Here is a 19,772-nt window from a genome sequence, read left to right on the forward strand (position 1 = left end):
ATAGGTATAAGAAAAAATGAAGGTAATATCAAGTGTTGCTGAGGTTGCAGAGAAACAGGAACCAACAAACACTGTTGTTGATAAACTTTGGAAAGGTTTGGCAGATTCTCAACATGTTAGAGTTTCTGTTGATCCAGCAATTCTACTCCTCGGTCTCCACCCAAAGAACTGAAAGCATATGTCCACACACACACACAAACCTGTATATAAATGTTCACTTTGCTACTACTCATAGCAGCCCGAAAGTACAAACAACCTAAATGTCTATCAATTAGTGGATAAATGTATACATCCATATATTGAAATACTATTTGGCAATAAAAAGGAATAAATTACAATACATGCTACAACATAGATGCATCTCAAAAAATTCTGCTAAATGAAAGCAGTCAGACCCAAAGACCGCATATGATATAATTCCATTTGTATGATATGTCCAGAATAGGCAAATTCACAGAGACAGTAGACCAGTGGTTATCAGAGACAATGGTGGGGGTGTAGACAGAAAATGGGGACTGACTGATCAAGGGCACATGGTTTCTTCATGAGGTGATGGAAAAATTCTAAAATTAGATTGTGAAGATGGTTGCACAACTCCATTAAGTATACTAAAGACCATTGAATGGTACACTTAAATCAGGTGAATTTTATGGTATTTAAATCATATTATCTATAAAGCTATTTTAAAAAGAAAGAAAGAAAGCAGCATATGAGAGATTTCTGGGGTGCTCACAGGTAATATTACATTTTCTTTTTTTTTTTAACCTAGGTTAAACTGGTGTTCATTTTCTAAGTGTTCTTCATTTATGGTTTTTGAGCTGTTCTGTATGTTATATTCCACAATAAAAACAATGAGGAAACTGCTGTTTCAAATATGCCTTTTCAAAGTATACTCACTCCTCACTTATTCTGATGTACAATTGTAAGTAAAGTTTGACCTCTCAAGAGAGAGCAGCCCACTCCTGCAACAAGCTATAACCAAGTATAATCAAGCTATAATCTGCTATAATTAAGGAAGGTCCTACTGCAAACAGGTTTGGCTTTCAAGTCAGCCAAACTGCCTGGATGGAGTGTCTTCCAGTGACAAGTTCTGGAAGTTTTGAGTTATATTTTAATAAGAGAAGTGCTTCCTGTACACTATGCATGAGTAATAATGATGATTGTAATAATTAGATTACACTTAAAGGGCAAAATACTAAAGAAAAAGTCATTGCAAATTTCATATTTTTCATTCTCATTCACTTGTTAAAACATCTTCTTTGGAAATAATCGTAGACTCACAGAAATTTGCAAAAATAGTCCAGAGTCCCCTGTACCCTTCAGTTAGCTTCCCCAATAGTGATCTCTTATGTAACTGTATTACTGTATTACAATATCAAAACCGGGAAATTGACATTGGTACAATACTGTTAACTAGAGCACAGACTTTATTCTCATGTCACCAGTTTTCACAGGCATCTATTTGTGTGTGTGTGTGCGTGTGTGTATACAGTTCTATGAAATTTTATTCTATGCTTTAATTTGTGTAGCCATCACTACTCTCACATAACTCAGGCCAGGCGAGCTTACTAAGGGTGGAAGTCGGACTCCCTGCTCCACTGGGTCCCGCCTGCCCTTCAGTCTCATGCCTGCCCAGCCCTCTGACCACCTGGAATGGAATGAGTCTGTGCGCTCTCTCCAGATAAGCGTGCGGGGCCTTCCTGTGCTTGCGCCCATGACCAAGGCCATGGACAATGACACTTACCCCCTGGTTGCCTTCCAGAGGACGCCAGGTAGGATTCAATACCCAGTCGCAGTCATTGCTGACCTGGGCACAGGGTCAAGGGCCCAAGAAGAAAACACCTGGTTCAGTTACCTGAAAAGGGGATACCCAACCCTATCAGACAGCAGGGACAGGGTGGTGGTGAAATGAAACAAAGACCACTGCATTCTAGAGTCCCACCTGGCGGAAAGTGGAGAGGGGCATGGAGCTCTCGGATCTGAACGTCTCTGGTGGGAAACTACTCTATGGACCAAGTGAGAGGGGTGACCTATCAGATAGATGGCAGCAAGGCCGTGTCTCGGGTAATTCTCTCCGAAGGCGATGGGGCAGTGGAGAAGGGGTTCATGGCAGTGGAGGGCCAGCGTCTGTAGGGGGGCAGCCTGGGCAAGGAGGGGACATAGTGACTGAGAACGTGGAATGGGTGAGAGTGGCAGGCCACAAGGGCAGCGTGGACCACAAGAACTGGGTGTGCAGCTGCAATGCTCCCAGGGCCGCCACGGAAATCCGACCGCCAGGCTGCCTCACACCCCTAGTCCGCCTGCTGGAAAGTGCTGCAGCGCCGGTCCTGCCCCCAGCGGTGCAGCGAGGACTCCTGAGCACCACCCAGGACTTCGGTTACATTTCCGTCAGCCACATGGGGGAGGTGGGCCCCGCGCACGTTAAAGTTCATTCTTCAAGTTCATCCCCAACACCAACGACCACATCATTGTGGACCTCAAGTCCAAAGAGGACAGCGGCCAAATCGCCACCTGTATCATGGTCTTTCTCTCTCGACGGACTAGTCCTTCTGCCAGGCACCAAAATTCGAAGTGTAAAGTATGAAGGAACAAAATTTATTTAAATTTTAAAAATTAAAACATTAAGCAAGGCTGAGGGGTGGGCAGTTTTCAGCTACATTGGAACTCACATTTTATAAATGCCGAAGGACTGCACTTTTGTTTTATTTTGTTTTTGGAACAATGAGGTGTATACTTGGTTTAGAGATCTCCAAAACAGGGAGTTCAGTCCCAGGCTGAGAAAAGGGGCAGAGGTTCAGGAACCTCGAGGTTGCCCTGGCCAGAACTTTTCTCTGTGCTGCCAGCTCATGGTAAAATTGATCACTGCAGGCAACTTCATAGGGGGTCTAGTTTTTGAATTGGTCATGCGCTTTCTTCCATCTGACCTCCCTTTCTTCTCTTTACCTTTGTTCTTTTGTTTGATAAGTATTCCTGGAGCTCCTACTATGTGTGAAGCACTGCCCCACCCTGGAAATACAATGAGTATGAGGAGGATCTGCCTGCTAGGAACTCCCAGGCCACCCCCTTTTCTTCCTACTTTATGAGCCTTGGATTTATGTCCACCCTACCAGATCCTTGGAAAAGAAAATGTTTACATTGCAAGACACTGTAGGGCTATGGACAAGGGCAGGCCCCTGGGGGGGACACATTTACCCACACCTGCCACAGGAAAGAACACAAGCCTATCTGTTTTTTCCACACTTCAGATGAAACCATCTCCACCTCATATGGCCAATGACTCTCTGTTTTCTTTCTTCAGGAAACTTCTATGGGTGGGTAGCACTTTGAAGTTTTAATTATTAACCTATTTTAATAAAAGTGAATTCCTTTCTTGGAATCACTAAATCTTCTCCCACAACACAAAGCCCTGTAGTTAATAAATCCATTCCCAGTGGCAGAAGAGATCACAACGAAGCAGTGACAACTGGTCAAGCAAGTTTATAAAAGTCTGAGTTCTTGGCCAATGTATACTAAAGAAAACATTGCCTTTTTCTGAGACCAAGTAGGAACGGAGCTTGGCTTCAGCCTATATCGACTAGAGCATTCTTTTGTGCATCCCCACTCACCACAAACCCACACTACTACCTTGCTTAGGCCACAATGTTTGAACCATACCTTTTACTTAAATAATTCCAGAAACTGGCCTTAGGAGATAACCAAGGTTGTTGAGTGTCCCACATAGGTAAGGAATGCTGAGCCATTGATTTACACTGTTGCTGTAGCCAGCCAGATCACCAGGTTGCCCATTATTGAAGATAACCACTGTAACCAGATATGCTGACTGGCATACCCTACCCTTCACACTTTCCCAGCCCATCCTGCATACCCTACCCCTGAAGTCAATTCCCATGCTTTGCCTAATTTAAAAAAAAAAAAAAAAAAAAAAAAAAGCCCTACTGGCTTCAGTCAGGGAATTCTCTCTCTCTTGTGCTGCCTCTCTTATGTCCAGGTATAAACTCCAATAATGCCTTGTCTGGGGAAACTTTTTCAGTCTCATGCCAATTTCTGTGCATTAACGGCCCAAGAACCCAGAGTTGGTACCATTTCTAGCAACTGTTAGAAATTGTCATGCCTTTCAAGACTTTTATGAATCACTTGAATTTTTTATTTCCTGACTCCAATGGGACCCTAGTTTCCAACAGGCCTACTGTTGACCCTTGACCCTGGGGCTCCTTTATTCTGGACATAGTCTGTGAATAAGGCCTGTCATTTCCCTAGAGTTTCTTTCCATGGCCTTTATTTCTCCTCTTTCCAACGGCAATTTTGCAACCCCTACTCCGTGGAAATGTCACACTAACTTTGGCTTGTCATTTGGCCCCTGCTGTCTTTTCTGGACACTCCAAGGTAAAGGCAGAGTTGGGTTTGAGACAGAGGTTAGGCACGCCCACAGCTGAGAAAAGATGTTTCCTTCAGTCACAGTGCTCCTCCCCCACAGCAGTTATCTCACCCCAACCCCCACAGGATAGTGTAGGGCATGCAGTAGGCAGGAGGACCACAGACTCTGATTGTCCCCATGCTGGTCCCAGTGGACTCTGTGGGCTCTGGCTGTGCCTGTGCTTGCCCTTCACAGATCTCTTCCCCTTTGAAACACAGCTGTGAGGAGGGAAGCCAGGAAGGACCCCTCTCACACAGTGGTGGTCTGTTTCTTCCATTACAGAATAAGTAGCAGAAAAAGTAAAGGCAGGTTCCTGAATGTGACACATTTCTCAAGAACTCAGATCTCACCAAGTATAGCCTGCAAGACCCAAGTCTGTTCTAATTTTGCCTGGCTGGGCTCTCTGATCCTCCTCAATTATTGTCCACGATATTCAGGCTCTGTCATTTAAAAAATACAGAGAGAGAAAATCAGGAAGGCTGGAGCATGTGGGACAGTCACTAAATTGAGACCTTTCTGATGTGTTAATATCAGCATCTGAGCCATAGCCCAGGTGCCTGGAAGTAGCATTTTCATACAGTCAGTGGTTTTCAAATACTTTAAGGCTAACATTTTTTCTTTCCCTCTATATTTCTGACAGTCAGCATAATGATTGTGTTTGTTCCCTACTGGATCCATTTGTTTTATAAAGTCTGACAGGAATGTGAAGAACAAAAAGATATATAGTTCTTGTGGAACGTGCTGGAGCACACCTGTAGTACCAGCTACAGCTTGGGTGGCTTAGGGAGGAGGCTCATTTAAGCCCCAGGTTTCAAAGTTACAGTGAACTGTGATTGCACCACTGCACTCCAGCCTGGCTGACAAAGCGAGACCCCCATCTCAAAAAAACAAACAAAATGACATATAACTCTTCTATCACCACCAAGGAACTTCCTCAGTGAAACTCCCAAGGACTACCCTTTACAGTCACATCCCCACTGTTCATATCCTCTGGCAACCACTGATTGCCCAGCTATCCTTACAATGTTGTCATTTCAAGAATGGTATGTAGAAGGAATCTACATTACATTGCTTTTTTAAACCTTCCAAACCTTTTTTTTTTTTTTAAAGCATTTCAGCCCCAAAGACCCTCCAGCTAGTTCTCTTTCTCCTTTTCTTTATAGCCAGGTATACTTTTTGTGGTTGTTGTTTCTGCACACCTAACAGCTTACTAGTTTTCTTCCTACATTTTCAGTCCTTTTTTGTTTGCTTTGTAGATGGATCCTTCCTCTATCTGGTCATTCAATGTTGTAGCTCCTCAAGGCTCAGTTCTGTGTCCTGTTCATTTGACACTTTTTCCCTACAGAGTCTCCTCCATACTCTTGGCTTCAATTATCTCCTGAACACAAATGACTTTCAAACACATATATGGGCAGACCTTGAGCCACAAAGTTGTATCTGTATAGCTAACTGCCTTTCATACATATCTATTTGGATGTCTTAAAGACACCTGAAACTTAGCATATCCAAAATTCAGCTCAGTGCATCTCACTCATTCTCATCCTTCAAATGTCCTTCATGACAACCTGTTATCTTCAACGACTCCCTTTCTCTCCCTACCCTATAGCTAAGTCAAATCCATTAATCTTACCTCTTAATTCTCTCTCATAACCATCTTCCCTGTCACCCTAATCTAAGCCATCACCATGGCCCTCTGGGCCACCGCCATAGACCCCTAACTGGTCACCCTACATTCACTCTTTCTCTAATTTGTTCTTTCCACAATGACCAGAATAACATAGTTATTTAATTTTAAATTTTTGTGAGTATATAGATGTATATAATTGTGGGGTATATGAGACGTTTTGACACAAGCACGCAACGCATAATAATGTCATGAAGAATGAGGCAGAATAACATAGATTAAATGGAAATTTAAAATAATTCCACCCTATCAACCTTTTATTCCACGTCAGTCTCCTGTCATTGTTCCTAGGAGAAACAGCAAAATTCCTAACATAGCCTAGAAGGTGAAGCATATGTAATGACCCCTACGCACTTCCTCCAGCTTATTTTGTACTATGTTCTTCCTCCTAATGATAGCTGGTCTTCTTTCATTTCCTCAATGTACAACCCTATACCCAGAATATTCTTTTTTGATCCCTTCCTCACAGATTTAACTCTCCTTATTGTTATGGGAAGTCAGGGACCCCAAACGGAGGGACCGGCCGGAACTGTGTCAGAGGACCATAAATTGTGAAGATTTCATCTTAATATGGACATTTATCAGTTCCCAAATAATACTTTTATAATTTTTTATGCCTGTCTTTACTTTAATCTCTTAATCCTATTATCTTCGTAAGCTGAAGATGTATGTCACCTCAGGACCACTGTCATGATTGTGTTAACTGTACACATTGATTGTAAAACATGTGTTTGAACAATGTGAAATCAGTGCACCTTGAAAAAGAACAGAATAATACCGATTTTTATGGAAAAAGGGAAGTCAACCGTAACATCTGACTGCCTGCAGGGTCAGGCAAAAAGAGCCATATTTTTCTTCTTGCAGAGAGCTTATAAATGTACATGCAACTAGGAAAGATATTGCTAAATTCTTTTCCTAGCAAGGAATATTAATATTAATACCCTGGGAAAATATTGCGTTCCTTGGGGGAGGTCTATAAACGGCCGCTCTGGGACTGTCTGTCTTGTGCAGTTGAGATAAGGACTGAAATATGCCCTGGTCTCCTGCAGAACCCTTAGGCTTACTAGGGTTGGGAAAATTCCACCCTGGTAAATTTATGGTCAGACCGGTTCTTTGCTCTTGAACCCTGTTTTCTGTTGTTTAAGATGTTTATCAAGACAAAACGTGTCAGGTGGTTCCAAGATGGCTGAATAGGAACAGCTCCAGTCTACAGCTCCCAGCGTAAGCAACACAGAAGACGGGTGATTTCTGAATTTCCAACTGAGGTACCGGGTTCATCTCACTGGGGCTCATCAGACAGTGGGGGCAGGACAGTGGGTGCAGCCCACCAAGTGTGAGCTGAAGCAGGGCGAGGCATCGCCTCACCTGGGAAGCACAAGGGGTCAGGGAATTCCCTTTCCTAGCCAAGGGAAGGGGTGACAGATGGCACCTGGAAAATCATGTCACTCCCACCCTAATACTGCACTTTTCCAATGGTATTAGCAAATGGCACACCAGGAGATTATATCCCATGCCTGACTCAGAAGGTCCCACGCCCACAGAGCCTCGCTCATTACCAGCACAGCAGTCTGAGATCGAACTGCAAGGTGGCAGCGAGGCTGGGGGAGGGGCACCCACCATAGCTGAGGCTTGATTAGGTAAACAAAGCGGCCAGGAAGCTCGAACTAGGTGGAGCCCACCACAGCTCAAGGCCTGCCTGCCTCTGTAGACTCTACCTCTGGGGGCAGGGCATAGCCAAACAAAAGGCAGCAGAAACCTCTGCAGACTTCAATGTCCCTGTCTGACAGCTTTGAAGAGAATAGTGGTTCTCCCAGCATGGAGTTTGAGATCTGAGAACAGACAGACTGCCTCCTCAAGTGAGTCCCTGACCCCCGAGTAGCCTAACTGGCAGGCACCCCCTAGTAGGGGCAGACTGACACCTCACACTGCTGGGTACCTCTCTGAGACGAAGCTTCCAGAGGAACAATCAGGCAGCAACATTTGCTGTTCAGCAATAGTCACTATTCTGCAGCCTCCACTGCTGACACCCAGGCAAACAGGGTCTGGTGTGGACCCACAGCAAACTCCAACAGACCTGCAGCTGAGGGTCCTGACTGTTAGAAGGAAAACTAATCAACAGGAAGGACATCCATACCAAAACCCCATCTGTACGTCACCATCAAAGACCAAAGGTAGATAAAACCACAAAGATGGGGAAAAAACAGAGCAGAAAAGCTGAAAATTCTAAAAATCAGAGCACCTCTCCCCCTCCAAAAGAACACAGCTCCTTACCAGCAATGGAACAAAGCTGGACGGAGAATGACTTTGACAAGTTGCGAGAAGAGGTCTTCAGACGATCAAACTTTTCCGAGCTAAAGGAAGAAGTTCGAACCCATCGCAAAGAAGCTAAAAACCTTGAAAAAGGATTAGATGAATGGCTAACTAGAATAACCAGTGTAGAGAAGTCTTTAAATGACTTGATGGAGCTGAAAACCAGGCACAAGAACTACGTGACAAATGCACAAGCTTCGGTAGCTGATTCGATCAACTGGAAGAAAGGGTATCAGTGATGGAAGATCAAATGAATGAAATGAAGCGAGAAGAGAAGTTTAGAGAAAAAAGAATGAAAAGAAACGAAGAAAGCCTCCAAGAAATATGGGACTATGTGAAAATACCAAATCTACGTCTGATTGGTGTACCTGAAAGTGACAGGAAGAACGGAACCAAGTTGGAAAACATTCTTCAGGATATTATCCAGGAGAACTTCCCCAATCTAGCAAGGCAGGCCAACATTCAGATTCAGGAAATACAGAGAATGCCACAAAGATAACTCCTCGAGAAGAGCAACTCCAAGACACATAATTGTCAGATTTACCAAAGTTGAAATGAAGGAAAAAATGTTAAGGGCAGCCAGAGAGAAAGGTCGGGTTACCCACAAAGGGAAGCCCATCAGACTAACAGCGGATCTCTTGGCAGAAACTCTACAAGCCAGAAGAGAGTGGGGGCCCATATTCAACATTCTTAAAGAAAAGAATTTTCAACCCAGAATTTCATATCCTGCCAAACTAAGCTTCATAAGTGAAGGAGAAATAAAATCCTTTACAGACAAGCAAATGCTGAGAGATTCTGTCACCGCCAGGCCTGCCCTACAAGAGCTCCTGAAGGAAGTACTAAACATGGAAAGGAACAACTGGTACCAGCCACTGCAAAAACATGCCAAATGGTAAAGACCATCAATGCTAGGAAGAAACTGCATCAACTAATGAGCAAAATAAGCAGCTAACATCATAATGACAAGATCAAATTCACACATAACAATATTAACCTTAAATGTAAATGGGCTAAATCCTCCAATTAAAAGACACAGACTGGCAAATTGGATCAAGAGTCAAGACCCATCAGTGTGCTGTGTTCAGGAGACCCATCTCACATGCAGAGACACACATAGGCTCAAAATAAAGAGATGGAGGAAGATCTACCAAGCAAATGGAAAACATAAAAAGGCAGGGGTTGCAATCCTAGTCTCTAATAAAACAGACTTTAAACCAACAAAGATCAAAAGAGACAAAGAAGGCCATTACATAATGGTAAAGGGACCAATTCAACAAGAAGAGCTAACTATCCTAAATATATATGCACCCAATACAGGAGCACCCAGATTCATAAAGCAAGTCCTTAGAGATCTACAAAGAGACTTAGACTCCCACACAATAATAATGGGAGAATTTAACACCCCACTGTCAACATTAGACAAACCAACGAGACAGAAAGTTAACAAGGATATCCAGGAATTGAACTCAGCTCTGCACCAAGTGGACCTAATAGACATCTACAGAACTCTCCACCCCAAATCAACAGAATATACATTCTTCTCAGCACCACATCACACTTATTCCAAAATTGACCACATAGTTGGAAGTAAAGCACTCCTCAGCAAATGTAAAAGAACAGAAATTATAACAAACTGTCTCTCAGACCACAGTGCAATCAAACTAGAACTCAGGATTAAGAAACTCAGTCAAAACCACTCAACTACATGGAAACTGAACAACCTGCTCCTGAATGACTACTGGGTACATAACAAAATGAAGGCAAAAATAAAGATGTTCTTTGAAACCAATGAAAACAAAGACACAACATACCAGAATCTCTGGGACACATTTAAAGCAGTGTGTAGAGGGATATTTACAGCACTAATGCCCACAAGAGAAAGCAGGAAAGATCTAGAATTGACACCCTAACATCACAATTAAAAGAACTAGAGAAGCAAGAACAAACACATTCAAAAGCTAGCAGAAGGCAAGAAATAACTAAAATCAGAGCAGAACTGAAGGAGATAGAGTCACAAAAAACCCTTCAAAAAATCAATGAATCCAGAAGCTGATTTTTTGAAAAGATCAATGAAATGTATAGACCGCTAGCAAGACTAATAAAGAAGAAAAGACAGAAGAGTCAAATAGACACAATAAAAAATGATAAAGGGGATATCACCACCAATCCCACAGAAACACAAATTACCATCAGAGAATACTATAAACACCTCTACACAAACAAACTAGAAAATCTAGAAGAAATGGATAAGTTCCTGGGCATATACACCCTCCCAAGAATAAGCCAGGAAGAAGTTGAATCTCTGAATAGACCAATAACAGGCTCTGAAATTGAGGCAATAATTAATAGCCTACCAACCAAAAAAAGTCCAGGACCAGATGGATTCACAGCCGAATTCTACCAGAGGTACAAAGAGGAGCTGGTACAATTCCTTCTGAAACTATTCCAATTAATAGAAAAAGAGGGAATCCTCCCTAACTCATTTTATGAGGCCAGCATCATCCTGATACCAAAGCTGGGCAGAGACACAACAAAAAAAAAAGAGAATTTTAGACCAATATCCCTGATGAACAGTAATGCAAAAATCCTCAATAAAATACTGGCAAACCAAATCCAGCAGCACATCAAAAAGCTTATCCACCATGATCAAGGGGGCTTCATCCCTGGGATGCAAGGCTGGTTCAACATATGCAAATCAATAAACGTAATCCAGCATATAAACAGAACCAAAGACAAAAACCACTTGATTATCTCAATAGATGCAGAAAAGGCCTTTGACAAAATTCAACATCCCTTCATGCTAAAAACACTCAATAAATTAGGTATTGATGGGACGTATCTCAAAATAATAAGAGCTATTTATGACAAACCCACGGCCAATATCACACTGAATGGGCAAAAACTGGAAGCATTCTCTTTGAAAACTGGCACAAGACAGGGATGCCCTCTCTCACCACTCCTATTCAACATAGTGTTGGAAGTTCTGGCCAGGGCAATCAGGCAGGAGAAAGAAATAAAGGGTATTCAATTAGGAAAAGAGGAAGTCAAATTGTCCCTGTTTGCAGGTGACATGATTGTATATTTAGAAAACCCCATCATCTCAGTCCAAAATCTCCTTAAGCTGATAAGCAACTTCAGCAAAGTCTCAGGATACAAAATCAATGTGCAAAAATCACAAGCATTCTTATACACCAATAACAGACAAAGAGCCAAATCATGAGTGAACTCCCATTCACAATTGCTTCAAAGAGAATAAAATACCTAGGAATCCAACTTACAAGGGATGTGAAGGACCTCTTCAAGGAGAACTACAAACCACTGCTCAAGGAAATAAAAGAGGACACAAACAAATGGAAGAACATTCCATGCTCATGGATAGGAAGTATCAATATCATGAAAATGGGCATTATGCCCAAGGTAATTTATAGATTCAATGCCATCCCCATCAAGCTACCAATGACTTTCTTCACAGAATTGGAAAAAACTACTTTAAAGTTCATATGGAACCAAAAAAGAGCCTGCATTGCCAAGACAATCCTAAACCAAAAGAACAAAGCTAGAGGCATCATGCTACCTGACTTCAAACTATACTACAAGGCTACAGTAACCAAAACAGCATGGTACTGGTACCAAAACAGAGATATAGACCAATGGAACAGAACAGAGCCCTCAGAAATAATACCACACATCTACAACCATCTGATCTTTGACAAACCTGACAAAAAGAAGAAATGGGGAAAGGATTCCCTATTTAGTAAATGGTGCTGGGAAAACTGGCTAGCCATATGTCGAAAGCTGAAATTGGATCCCTTCCTTACACCTTATACAAAAATTAATTCAAGATGGATTAAAGACTTCAATGTTAGACCTAAAACCATAAAAACCCTAGAAGAAAACCTAGGCAATACCATTCAGGACATAGGCATGGGCAAGGACTTCATGTCTAAAACACCAAAAGCAATGGCAACAAAAGTCAAAATTGACAAATGGGATCTAATTAAACTAAAGAGCTTCTGCACAGCAAAAGAAACTACCATCAGAGCGAACAGGCAACCTACAGAATGGGAGAAAATTTTTGCAATCTACTCATCTGACCAAGGGCTAATATCCAGAATCTACAAAGAACTCAAATTTACAAGAAAAAAACAAACAACCCCATCAAAAAGTGGGCAAAGGATATGAACAGACACTTCTCAAAAGAAGACATTTATGCAGCCAACAGACATATGAAAAAATGCTCATCATCACTGGCCATCAGAGAAATGCAAATCAAAACCACAATGAGATACCATCTCACACCTGTTAGAATGGTGATCATTAAAATGACAGGAAACAACAGGTGCTGGAGAGGATGTGGAGAAATAGGAACACTTTTACACGTTGGTGGGACCGTAAACTAGCTCAACCATTGTGGAAGACAGTGTGGCGATTCCTCAAGGATCTAGAACTAGAAATACCATTTGACCCAGCCATCCCATTACTGGGTATATACCCAAAGGATTATAAATCATGCTTCTATAAAGACACATGCACAAGTATGTTTATAGCGGCACTATTCACAATAGCAAAGACATGGAACCAACACAAATGTCCATCAATGATAGACTGGATTAAGAAAATGTGGCACATATACACCATGGAATACTATGCAGCCATAAAAGTGATGAGTTCATGTCCTGTGTAGGGACATGGATGAAGCTGGAAACCATCATTCTCAGCAAACTATTGCAAGGACAAAAAAACCAAACACCGCATGTTCTCACTCATAGGTGGGAATTGAACAATGAGAACACTTGGACACAGGAAGGGGAACATCACACACCGGGGCCTGTTGTGGGGTGGGGGAAGGGGGGAGGGAAAGCATTAGGAGATATACCTAATGTAAATGACGAGTTAATGGGTGCAGCACACCAACATGGCACATGTATACATGTGTAGCATATCTGCATGTTGTGCACATGTACCCTAGAACTTAAAGTTCTAGGGTAATAATAATAATAATAATAAAATTTTAATAATAATAATAATAAAATAAAATAAAAAATTTAATAATAATAAAAAAAGACAATACATGCAGCGCACTGCTGAACATAGATGCTTATCAGTGGTTCTGCTTTTGTCCTTTGCCCTGTGATCTTTATTGGACCCTTATCAGTGGTTCTGCTTTTACCCTTTGCCCTGTCCCCTCAGAAGCATGTGATCTTTGTTGGACCCTTATCAGTGGTTCTGCTTTTTGCTCTTTGAAGCATGTGATCTGTGTACCTACTCTCTGTTCTTACACCCCCTCCCCTTTTGAAACCCTTAATAAAAACTTGCTGGTCTGAGACTCAGGCGGGCATCATGGTCCTACTGATACGTGATGTCACCCCTGGCGGCCCAGCTGTAAAATTCTTCTCTTTGTACTGTCTCCCTTTATTTCTCAGCCAGCCGACACTTATGGAAAATAGAAAGAAACTATGTTGAAATACTGGGAGCAGGTTCCCCCAATGCCTTATACTTTAGGTCTCAGTTCAATCAGTAGCCCCACTGGGAATTCCCTGACTCCCCATATAAGGTCAAATCCCACCGTGACACAGCCTCACATCACTTTCTCTCTCATCACTTTCAAACTGATTTTTTTTTTTTTTGAGATGGAATCTTGCTCTGTCACCCAGGCTGGAGGGCAGTGGCGTGGTCTCAGCTCACTGCAACCTCCGCTTCCCGGGTTCACACCGTTCTCCTGCCTCAGCCTCCTGAGTAGCTGGGACTACAGGCGCCCGCCACCACGCCTGGCTAATTTTTTGGTTTTTTTTTTTGGTATTTTTAGTAGAGACGGGGTTTCACCGTGTTAGCCAGGATGCTCTCGATCTCCTGACCTCATGATCCACCCGCCTCGGCCTCCCAGAGTGCTGGGATTACAGGCGTGAGCCACCGCGCTCAGCCAATAATTTCATTTTTAATTATGAGGTTGGTTGATTAATATCTGTGTCCCCTAGAAAACTGTAAGCTATGCAAGGGAAGGAACCAAGTTTGTTTTAGGTTTCCGTTGCACCCCCACAGCCTAGCGCACATGAGGATTTCAACAAATATTTGTTGAGAGAATAAATCAACATTGAAACTAATGGCTCACAACAGTCATTCTTACAACCCTTTTTATAAACCTGAGATTTAAACATGTCACCACTCCTAAAATATCTTTAGAACAGCTTTATATTTACTTGAGAACTAGAACTTAGCAAAATGTTATAATAATATGTGTTTAATTAAATATACTACAGAAAGCACCCCCCCCTTTATGACTAGGTAGTGGTCTAAATGTTTATTTTATACTGCACTTGATATTTTCCCATAAAAACAAGTTGCGAATGGCAAGTAAGTTCTAACCAGCCCACAAAAATCTTACTTACCCCATGAAGTAGTCAACATTGTATTGATTGGAGCTTTAAGACTAACTGCACTTTTGATCCATGAATTCAGTGTACCATTTAGTCCAGAGCACCCCTCAAGTCCAAACCCTGGGTCTTCCATGCCCATTCAGCCTTTAGTATCTCTCTGGATCCTAAAGCTTTCTGAGACCTGAGCAAAGCAGTAAGTAATGTCTTGACAGAAGGAAAGCTCCAAAAACAAGATCTGCTAGCAGCCACAGAAAAAAGAAGGGAAGTATACAGAAAAGGCAGTGTTGCTGATAAGGGGGTTGGGTAAAGTGGACAGGGTTGCAGAGAGGGCTCAAGCAGATAGAATATCAAGGGTAAGCAGGGTGCGATACAAGCAAGTTCTATACCCAAGTAACTGAGTGAATTGTAAATCAGGTGTTCTGAAGATGGCAAACACTATATATTTGAAAACTGTTTTAACATCCTAAATCCCTCCCCATCCCCCAGCAAGAACTCTCAATTCTTATATCTAGTTACAGAAGACGTGAAGACAAACCATCAAAAATAAATATCCTAAATTCAGTAGAAAAACAATACACACCATACCTTTGTTCCATTCCGAGTAGGCAGGGGCCAAACAGCACAAGAGCAGCTCCCCAGAGAAAGCTGAAATGGAGTGAGGTTGAAATCTTCTTTTAAATAACGTTTAAAACTTCTAGAAAGGTTGCAGCCTGAACAATTCAATTTGCTTGGTAACAAATTTAATCAGATTTTATTGTAGCCAGAAAACCTTTCCGAAAGTAATTACGAGAGCACAGCAGGCAAGAGCACAGCAGGCGAGTCAGACTTCTGGTGACATGAACACTCAGCCTGCTGATATGAATTTCAGTTGTCTTCATATATCTGCCAACCTTACCATTACCCTCCCAGCTCCACCCACAGAGCCTAGCAAAGAGCACTTCAGATAAACTCTGAATTCCCCACCAGCACAGGAGTATGAAGTGTGTACTTTAGATAAACTCCGAATTCCCCACCAGCACAGGAGTATGAAGGGTGTGTGTGTGTGTGTGTGTGTGTGTGTGTGTGTGTGTGTGTATGTGTTCATACATGTGTGTCTGAAAGCACATGTATGTTTTTGCAGATACATGAATGTAGTGTCAGAGGAGAAAATATTAAGGAGAACTTAATATATCACTCCCTAATTTTTTGTATCCTTCTGTAAGTCATCCTGTCATAAACACAGATTTTGGTTTTCTTTGTAATATAATAAGAATTGCTTTGTTGTAAAAGAAAAGACCTCTGTATAGTATTTCCCACCGGGGCATACAGTTTAGGCCTGGCCTCTGTTCCTTCCCGATCCCTACCCTCCCCTGACTGTACTGTCCTCTCAACCCTGAGGGCTCAGACTAGTGGGAATTCAGAATCCAAGTCTAAATCTCTTCAGACATCTGTATGCCACTTGGTTTATTTTCCCCAGTTTGATAAATATCCTGTCTTGCCCAGTCACTGTTTCAGCTCTAGCAAGCAGGTGTTCTATGTTTCTTTAAACAAACACAATACAGTGAAGAACTAGCTGGCATTGTGCCTGCCCAGGTATTTTCAAAAACTCACCTTAAGTCCTCCCCGCTTCATTAAAATCAATTCCTCCTTTTCCCACTGAGTGCTCTTTCTCCTGAATCCCTGGAGAATTCTGTGCCTCAAAATTTGCACTTAAAAAAAAAAAAAAGCAACACTAAATTCTCTTTTATGTTAGTCTTGTCTCTCCAACTAGATTATAAGTTTCCGAAGCACTGGCAATGTGACTTTGAACTTGTATTTACCACAACGTTTAAAATTCTGTGTAGGAAACAACTAAGCAATTCTCACGAAACAGCAAGAGGACAGTTGTAACCACATCTTATTCTAGTTGGAGAAATGTCTGATAGTAGGATAAAGGAAGAAAAGACTGCTATGTAGAGCAATTCTTCTAAGTAACACCTGCCCTCAAAATATCCTTTTCCTCTCCAAATCAAGAAGGTCTCTCAAATTATTCCTTCCCTAGTTCTAGATGACATCACATGACATTTTTTAAAGTGAGGTATGACTTACATATAGTAATGTGCACTAATCTTGAATGTATAGCTCTATGACTTTTTTACGCAGGTATACATTCATGTAACTACCTCCCACATCAAGATATAGAAAATTTCTAGGACTCCAGCTAACTCCTTCCCAGTCAACATCCACTCAAATGATAGCCACTCCTCTAATCTGTATCACCACAGACTGGTTATGCCTACTCTTAAATTTTGTATAAATGGAATCATATGCTGTTTTGTATCTGGCCTCTTTCTCCTACCATTATGATTGTGGGATTTATCCATATTGTAAACATATTTCATGTTATGTGCATATTTTATTGCATGTTAAATAAATTCTACGTAAGCCTCACATAGGAAAAGAAAGCAGGAAACCACCAGAAGGAACTGAACCCTGAGATGCACAATTGCTTAGGGAACCCACAGGATTTGCCAACATTGAGAAAAATAGACCTCTGATTAGAAATAAAAGCCATCTATTTTCTCTTATACAAGAAACATTAGACATATGGGAAAAATTAGCTGCCAGAAATAAGCTGAACAATCAGGGCAAAGATATCTTTCTGCAAGATAGATTTAGTAAAGAAAACAAGGAAGAATTTTCAGAAAAAGAAATTTAGTGCATCAAGGAATAAAAAGGGATTATAATAGCAGGAACCTGAATTCTCTGAAGGAGAGAACAGGTGTGGCAACATCTTTTTGACTTAAATATCAGATAGAAACAAAGAGGACTTTAGAATTCAGGTAAAGGGAGTTCTGTCTGGAAGATAAGAAAGGCAGAGAACAGAGGCCCTTTCTCTTTTTTGATTTCCAACTTTTAAGTTCAGGGGTACATGTTCAGGATGTGCAGGTTTGTTACACAGGTAAACACGTGCCATGGCAGGTACTGCACAGACCATCCCATCACCTAGGTACTAAGCCCTGCTAGCATCCATTAGTGATTCTTCCTTTCAACAGGACAGAAGAGGAGCCTTGTTAGTAAGGTGGTAGGTGACAAATCCCTGGTAATGGGGCAGATGGAGGACTTTTTAAAACACATGAATACTCTCTGGAGAGCTGTGACGCCACCCTTTTCGCCACCTCAGACCTTCAGCAAAGTGTGTCCACACAAGGTGAATGGAATGAAAGAATGCCATTTGGGGAACACAAAGGAAAACGATGTGTTCCATGTCTGCACCAGGACAGGCTGTAAGAACAGACTCTAAGAAGAGGTACAATTAGGAAATCTAGGACAAAGAAAATTGGACCTAGGTGGGGACCAAGTACAAAACCTCTTGGAATTGAAAAGAAAAAAAAAAAACAGGAGTTAGGGGAGGCATTAAACTTCCCATCAAGAATGGGATGAAGAGCCAGACATTTTATTTAAATCTCAAAGGGAGGGGTAATTTTCAGGAAGGTGTCACATAAATGAAAAGGGGTAACAAAAAAGGAGAGAACAAAAGGATTTTTCCAGTAAAATCATGGGCGCCAAAACAAAACAAAAAAATAGTGGAGATCTTAAGTAGCAGAATAATATGCCAAAAACCAAACCTGGCAACTGTGAAACAGATAACCAATTTAAGGAATCTCCTAAAAAACAGAGAAGTTATGAAAGAAAATTAAGAAACAGGAAGAATAATATATGATAACTTCTACATAACAGAAATTCCAGAAAACAAATGAAGGAATGATCAAGAATAAGTTAACATTTTTCTCAATAGAAGAAAATCTAGATTTCATATTTAAAGAATCTAAGGATTGTTGGGCAGGAATACTGAAAAAAGCCATATTACAGATAATCTGTTGAAATTTGTAAATGACAGAAAAGAATCCTACAAGAAATCCTACAAACTTCCAGAACACTCCCCCACCCTCCTCACACTCACTTCTCCCAACAAAAGACACTCCAACACCTTCACCAAAATCAGGTGTCTGCCAAGTGCAAAGAAACCAGTGGACATTGCTCTCTTATTTGGAAATAAAATGCCAGGAGACCCAATGGAGTGATGTTTACAGAATTCTGAGGGAGAATTCTACAGCCAAATGGTGACTCAAGTGTGGCTGTAAAAATAAAGGCCTTTTCAGACTTGTAAGGACTCTGAACACACAATTTCCAACTGTGGTCTCAGAAATCAGTTCCACAGTATACTGTTCCCCTCAGCCTCAGAGTCTTTGGTGAATCTCCAGGTGACAGAGAGTTTCATCTCCCAAAGAGGCCCTCCAGTCTTCTCTGGTAAAGGTTTTAGATACTCTCGCCTTCCCAGACATCTGAGCTTCATTTTCTCCTGTGTCTCCAGAGCTCTTTTTGCTTTTTTTTTTTTCCCTTCTATTCTGTCCGACCTTAGCTATTACTGTTTTTCAGGTGTCCTTGACTCACCATTCTCTTATTACAGAGACTACGTCTGTCTTACTCATTTGTTTCCAAAACCTCCTCGAGTAAAAAGAGGAATTTGCTGGAAGGGTCTGGGGAGATCTCGAAAAACCCAGCATAGAAACCTTAGCCCATCTGGCCTCATGCAAGGCCGGAGTCTCAGGCTCTAATGTCAGCACTAGAGAAAAACACGTATCTTCCTTCTCTTCCTGTGTCTCCATGGTGTGGGAGAGGAGGGAAGAAGAACTAACCTGAACGGCCAGCCACAGGCATTCACAGGGTCAGGTGCATGGTGGGCAGGGCCACTGAGCTGAGTAGCATCTTCTACGTCTGTGTTCCACCCAGGAGTGGGGGCAGTGAGGGGAGCAGGCCTGGAGATTTTAGGCTACTGGTGGGCCTCAGAATCTCCTCTGCAAGGACTTTAGAACTTCCAAGTCTCAAAACAGAAATCCAGAATGGGTAGTAGAAGACCCCTCTTAAGCCTCTAAGTCATGTACTCTGTCTTTTATCAAAGAAGGCTACACTGGGATTTTTAAGATATTGTGCTGATTAATAAAAATCATTCTTTCCACCCATTTGCAAC

At 41.8% G+C, this 19,772-nt stretch overlaps 1 pseudogene, besides 1 other annotated feature; it reads left to right on the forward strand.

Moving 5' to 3' along the window:
• Positions 1,603-4,498, forward strand: CANT1P1 (CANT1 pseudogene 1; annotated as a pseudogene).
• Positions 2,489-3,193: an enhancer, noted in NCBI's record as "OCT4-NANOG-H3K4me1 hESC enhancer chr6:25153639-25154343 (GRCh37/hg19 assembly coordinates)". NCBI's record gives its function as "activates a minimal SCP1, AML or CMV promoter by ChIP-STARR-seq in primed H9 embryonic stem cells {active_cell/tissue: H9 hESC(primed)}" and the evidence as "EXISTENCE:reporter gene assay evidence [ECO:0000049][PMID:30033119]".

The sequence above is a fragment of the Homo sapiens genome, chromosome 6 (genome assembly GCF_000001405.40).
Source record: "Homo sapiens chromosome 6, GRCh38.p14 Primary Assembly".
NCBI classification, from domain to species: Eukaryota; Metazoa; Chordata; class Mammalia; order Primates; family Hominidae; genus Homo; species Homo sapiens.